This window comes from Homo sapiens, chromosome 1 (assembly GCF_000001405.40).
Source record: "Homo sapiens chromosome 1, GRCh38.p14 Primary Assembly".
Classification (NCBI taxonomy): Eukaryota; Metazoa; Chordata; class Mammalia; order Primates; family Hominidae; genus Homo; species Homo sapiens.
The window spans coordinates 154,882,015-154,889,040 of record NC_000001.11 but is presented as its reverse complement, the minus strand read 5'-3'; positions in this window follow the sequence as shown (position 1 = coordinate 154,889,040).

The window sequence follows — 7,026 nt, the reverse complement described above, 5'->3', positions numbered from 1 at the left end:
CCTTATCTGGCCCCGATCGTTTCTTCCCCATGCATTCCTTATCTTGGAGAATGTACTTCCGTCGAGCTGTCAAGACAGGAATTGGGAACTACCCTTTCCCTCTCTTAACCTCATATCCATTTTGTCACCAAGCCCTGTCCCTCTTATCTTCAAATGCCTCCCTTATTTCTCTCGTTTCTCTTCTCATTGCCTTAATTCAACTCCTGATCGTCTCCCTGGGTCACTGCAACTGGCTCCAAACTGATGTCCTTGTCTCTATCCTATGCTGTCCTTTCTCCACTCTGTGGCCAGAGTGTACTTTTTAAGAAGGTCACTCTAGTGTTTAAATCCTTCGATGCTCTCTATTTCCTTATCAAAGTACTTTTCTTGGTTGTAAGACCCTTCCAGTCTGGCTCCTATTTAATTCTTTAGCCATATCTCTTATCATGCTCTCACACTCAGGTGAACTCAAGCCATATGGGATTATTTCCAATTTCTCCAAAGTAATTCCCTAAAGTATTTTTTCTCTGCCTGAGTGCGAATCTCCTCACTTCTCTCTATCATTGACTCATGAGTCCTCGTCCTTCAGGACTCAGCGGTAGCTTTACTGCTCTGGGAAGCTCCCCCATTCCCAGCTGCTTTCCCAGGTTGATCCCTTGTTGCCGCCACCATCACTGCTCCTAGCTCGCAGCCAGGTTTTAATAGGAGTCAGGGTGGTGGGGCTCTGACACTAAACACACACTCTTGGATTACAGCCAAGACAGTGCCAGGGAAGAGCAGTGCAGGGGACTCGTGGAGTAGGTAACGGGGGCCTGCTCTAGCGGAGGAGTCAGGATGGCTTTCCCGAGGAATTGATGCTTATATGAGGACTCTAGGGATGAGGAGGAGTTGGTGGCCAGCTGAAGAAGATGGCAGGAGCGGGTGTTGGTGGTTTTCCAGGCAGAGGAACATCACAAGGAAGGCTCTGAGTGGTGGGATACATGGCTCTGAGAAACTGGAGGGAGTTGGTGTGGCTGGCATGCAGAAGCAGCTGGGAGTAGGGAAGGATGACACGGGGCTGTGCAAGGTTCAGGGTTGGGGTCAGCCCCTGTGGGGTCATGGAGCCACATAAAGGAGCGACATAAAGGAGGACTTCGGGTTTTATCCTGAGAGCTCTGGGAAGCCATTATGGGGTTTTAAGCAGAGAACCAATGTGATCAGATTTGCTTTTTTTTTTTTTTTTTGACAGAGTCTAACTCTGTCGCCCAGGCTGGAGTGCAGTGGTATAATCTCGGCTTACTGCAATCTCCACCTCCTGGGTTCAAGCCATTCTCCTGCCTCAACCACCCCAGTAGCTGGGATTAAAGGTGCATGTCACCACGCCTGGCTAATTTTTGTATTTTCAGTAGAGACGAGGTTTTACCATGTTGATCAGGCTGGTCTCTACCTCCTGACCTCAAATGATCCGCCCACCTTGGCCTCCCAAAGTGCTGGGATTGGAGGCGTGAACCACTGCGCCTGGCCAGATTTGCATTTTCAAAAGACTTTTCTGTTGCCCTGTGGAAGATGGATTTGAGGGCTGGAGGGGTGGGAGTGGGACCAGTTAGGAAGGTGTTGGGTTAAGTCTGAACAGGGAGGTGGAGAGAGAAGGAAAGCGATGCTGAGAGCTACCTTCAAGGCTGGGTCCACAGGATTGGGTGCCAAGGACGGCTCCCATCTTCTGGGGGATGCTGGGGATCTGCCTGAGCTGGGGAGACGCTGGACCAGGAGATGATTTTGGAGGCACAGCCGAATCTATTTGGCACATAAGGGTGAACTCCTCAAGGATGGACACACATATTATTCATCTCTAATTCTCTGGTTGGGCACAGCAGAAGCCCAAGAAGTGTTTGTGGAATAAATGACTGGAAAGCCACTCTTGGGCTTGCTGGTCTGTCTTGTTGGCCAGCATGTAGTGCTGCTCCTCAGATGACAAAGTGAAGTGTCTATTATGTTGTTTCTAACTTGGTGGGTTATCTGCCCAAATAGACGCTCTGAAGGTGACCCCAGATGATAGCAGAGAGAGGCACATGTGGGCAGCAAGTGGGTATGTGTGGGCATGTGGGAGGGGGGCACTGGGAGTTGGGGGAGCATTGTCCTTAGCATCTCATCACCGTTCATTCACATTTACTGCTCAGCTGGGAGCATGCTCTGGCTGCAGGGCGGTGCTTTTAGCCCAGAGGCTCAGAGCACTTTCCTATCACTAACATGGAACATTCCCAGAATTCCCCAGAGGCCTGGGGTTCCAGACAGTACAACATACAGAAGGCTGAGGCTCCAGTCACACTGCTGAGGTGTCTGAGCATAACAGTGCATTCGTCTGTCCAAGCATGCACCATTTGTTCATTCACTCGTCATGTGCCAGGCACTGTGCTGGGCTTGGGGAATCCAAGGGCAACAAGACAGGCCTGTCCCAGCCTCCTTGAGCTCACATGCTTTATGCACATCCAGATACAGGGGTGCCACTGTCACTAGAGCCACCTCTGGAGTCAGCTAGCAAGATCTGGAGCACATTATCCTCACTTCCATCTCAGCTGGTTGAGCTGCAGTACTTGAGAGTCTGTGGATGATGATGTTATTGGGAGTTTTATCTCTAACCACATGTACCTACTTCCTGGAAGTTCAGAGCAATGATCCTTAAAATGGCCAGAAACTAAAACTGAAAACCACCCAACTGCCTAAGAAGAGTGAATGGCTAAGCAAATTCTAGACATATGATGGGGGAGGAGCATGACATTATCTAATAAAAACGTGGGGTTATGTTGATATGTTAATGAGATGGGATTTACTGTCACTATGAGACTGTCTTTAATGAAACAAGAACATAAAATATCAGGTACACACTAATTACAGCACAACTGCTCTAAAACCTATATACACACATTGTCATCTCAATTGTATAAGGAAAACACAATGCATAGCAAAAGACTGAAATATGCCACATCTTAACAATACCTACTTTGGTAGAGGAATTTTACGTGACCTTTCTGCTTCTTTATTGTTTTCTATTTTTTCCCAAACTTTTAATAATCAGCAAGCATTTACCGTGAAAATTCAGAAAAGTAAATACATTAAGACTCTCCTATGTTTACACATTGGCATAGGTCAGAAAAGTATTTCCAGGGATGTTAGCTGGGCGTGGTGGTGCATGCCTGTAATCCCAGCTACTTGGGAGGCTGAGGTGGGAGAATCGCTTGAACCCAGGAGGCAGAGGTTGCAGTGAGCCGAGATCGTGCCATTGTGCTCCAGCCTGGGCGACAGAGCAAGAGTCCGTCTCAAAAAAAAAAAAAAAAAAAAAGAAGCATTTCCAGGGATGTCAGAAGAGCTTGGTGAGCGCTAGATTCAGTTGTTTGTATTTGTAATGAACCACACACTGATCATTGAGAGCTGAACTAGGTAGACACTAAGTGCGCCTTTGTTCTGAAGTGCTGGGATTCAACTTAATTCCATACAAGTTGAACAGCTTACAATCCTGTCAGGGAGGCAGACTTATTTATTTACTCAACCGTTTATTCAACGAGTGTTTATGGAGTTCCTCCTTTGTTCCTGGCATTGTCCCAGATGCTGGAGAACATAAACACATAATCACAATGTGATGTGAGAAGGGCCTCAGCAGAGGTCCCGACAGAGTATTAGGGGAATACAGCATGGCTAACCCTGTTTGAGGATGTTGGGGATCAGCGAAGGCCTCCTAAAGCAGGATCATTTGAACAAGGCCTTGAGGGGTGAATAAGAGTTCTCTAGGCAACAAATAGAGGGAAATGGAGCCTAAGCTACTTTGGGAATTATTTTTAGAGATGCCTACATGTGCTATGAGGGAAGATAGAATATGTGGATTGTTTATAGACTGTTGTCCTCATTCCAGCCAGGAGACCAGAATGAGGAGTTGAGTTCAAAGGTCTGAACTCACAAAATTAGAATAACTCATTTGTGTCCTGGCTGTTTTCTTACCCCATGTTTAACTAAACATCATGTGTGTTCAAGGCCTCTTTGAATAATGACCCTCTCAACGCTGGATCTTGACCCAAGTTCAGGAACTGGAAACATCTGGATCCTGCTGGGCTAGAAAAACATGTGTGACCCCTAGATCTCTATCCTCACACAGAAAGCAAGGACAGCTTTCAGAAGGGGACTCACAACTGGAAATTCTAACAGGTAAATATTAGTATCATTAAGAAATCTTGCAAAGGTGATTATTAGCCATCTCTTGTCTGTCGAGTTCTGTTGCTTTTCTTTCTTCTCTCCTTTTCTCAGTTTTTCTCTCTCCCCTGTGTCTTTCTCCTCCTTTGCCACATCTGTCTGCCTCTTTCCTTCTCGTCTGTTTTTCTATTCTCTGGTCTCTTGTTCTCGCTCTTTGTCTCTTTCTGTCTCTTGGAGCATTTCTCTGTCTCTCTTGCTTTGCTACCTTTCTCTCTCTGTCTTTCTCTTTCTTGTATCTCTTGCTGACCTTGGGGTCACTCCCTTGGTTTTCTCCATTTAATGGAGCCCCAACTTGCCTTTGATGGCATTTGGGGAGGGCAAAGTTAGTCGGACTCTCTGAACTTGATTGGCCTCCCGTGACAAGGATCTCTTTTCACAGGGTCTGGATTTAAAGTGTGAAAATATAAAGAGCTTTTTCATTCTGACTCGCACATATCCCTACTTGAGCTGAAGCATTTCCAGACAGATAATCATCAGGTTTCCTACAGGAAATTAAAGACCTCAGTACCGTGTAGTTGTTTAAATCACCCGTATTGCCCATTAGGTTTCATGAAAGGCTTTGCTTCCCTGGTATGTGATAGAACAAATCTTTAATAAGATTTTTCCCCCAATTTTTCTAATGAAGTCGGTCGTGTGTGTCCTCTAGATAAGCTCACAATAAGGCCAGCAGGTTCCCATTTTGGTATGAGCCGGTGCCTCACCCCTTCTTATCTAAGCCACAAGGACACGGAGCTGGCACATGTCCTCAGAGTCCACACTGGGAGCTGCCCCGGGGACAAGAACCCCTACAAGTAGGAGCATTCAGACCTCTGGCTGGATTGGCGGATGTGGCCATGCAGTGCCTTCTGTCCAGGAGCCAATGGCACCCCCACTTCTGCCTTAAGCCCCCCGTGTGCCCACACTCCTCTGGTTACCATCTGCTTCAGAGGAAGTCAGGCCCCAGTCTAGCCAAGATGGTACTCCTCCTTCCTTTTCTTGGTGGTTGGTTTAGGTCTGAGCATTTAACCCCCCCTTTTTCATTTTTATTTTTTTTGAGACTGAGTCTTGCTCTGTCACCCAGGCTGGAGTGCAGTGGTGCGATCTCAGCTCACTGCAAACTCCGCCTCCTGGGTTCAAGTGGTTCTCCTCCCTCAGCCTCCCGAGAGTAGCTGGGATTACAGGTGCCCACCACCATACCCAGCTAATTTTTGTATTTTTAGTAGAGACGGGGTTTCAACATGTTGGCCATGCTGGTCTCGAACTCCTGACCTCAGGCAATCTGCCCGCCTTGGCCTTCCAAAATGCTGGGATTACAGGCATGAGGCACCATGCCCCAGCCTAACCCATTCTTTGACCAGTGAGATGCAAAGGAAAGTCTAGGGACTTCTGGGACAAATGTTCTCATTATTAAAGAGATCCACAGCAGGGGGCTTCCCTTCATTGCTGTTGCACTTGAAGGTTGGCAATGGGATGCCTCAGTGTGCCCTGGCTACCTTGTGATCAACCTGCTGAGGATGGCAGAGCAGAAAGTCAGGAAGAGCCAGTGCTCATGGTGACATGTGCTGCCAAGTTAATGACCCCGGGACTGTTCTACCTCTTGAGTTTTTAGTGTGTGAAATAACAAATTTCCTTGTTTTTAAACTCTCTTGAGGTTTTTTTTTTTTTTTGACTGGCAATTGAAAGCATATTAGTAGACACAGACAGGACCACAGAGGTCCAAGATGGGCCCCCATGTCTTCTGAGAGAGGTCTGAGCTCACTGAGAGAAGGGTAGGGTGGGGACAAGCCTTGGGATCGAAGGCCCTGCCTTGGAGCAGTTTGTCGTTCCATGCTATGACAAACCATGGGCAAGAAAACCTCTCTGAGCTGAAGTTTCCTTGGCTCAAAATGAGTATTGAGTGCATCACAGATGCTCAATAATCATCAGCTCTCTTCTCTTCAGGTATGCTTATCTTCCAGTTATTATTATTATTATTTTTTGAGACAGAGTCTCACTCTGTCGCCCAGGCTGGAGTGCAGTGGCATGATCTCGGCTCACTGCAAATTCCACCTCACAGGTTCAAGCAGTTCTCCTGCCTCAGCCTCCTGAGTAGCTGGGATTACAGGCGCCTACCACCATGCCCGGCTAATTTTTGTATTTTTAGTAGAGATGGGGTTTTACCACGTTGGCCAGGCTGGTCTGGAAGTCCTGACCTCAGGTGATCCACCTGCCTTGGCCTCCCAAAGTGCTGGGATTACAGGCATGAACCGCCACAACAGGCCTCTTCCAGTTACTTTTAATGGGACCAAGAGGTGCCAGGTACGGAGAGCTATTTAATGACATTTCAGTGCTGGGGAAATTTTACACAGAGACCATTCTAAGTCCTTTACCCACAGTTGCTCCAAGTACAAATCACGTCTCTAATGCCAGCACCAGTGTTGAGGGGGAGGCAAATACACCCAATTCTCAATTCTCCATGGTGATGAAGAATGTGGATAATTGAAAACAGCAGATAATCCCCGAACCTGCTTTGAGTCACTGACTTCCACCGCCTCCCCCATCATCACTTTTCTGGTGCAGCTGACAAAATGCCACATGCACGCACGTTTCTTCTCTCTCTTCTGGTGGATCACTTGGCAAAGCTGCTTATCCACTTCAAAACCGCCAAGTCTGGGGTGACAGGAGAAGCCAGGGGGCTGAACACCACCTCCCCAGCCAAGAACAGCCTGGAAGCTATACCACTGGGCTTGGCCTTGGAGTGGGTTCTGTCCATCCCTTAGGTTAGTTTGACTTTAATCCCTCCAAGCTCTTCAGGAGGTCAAAGACAAGAAGGCGCAGGATCCTGCAGGTGATAGTGAGCACCAGAGACAC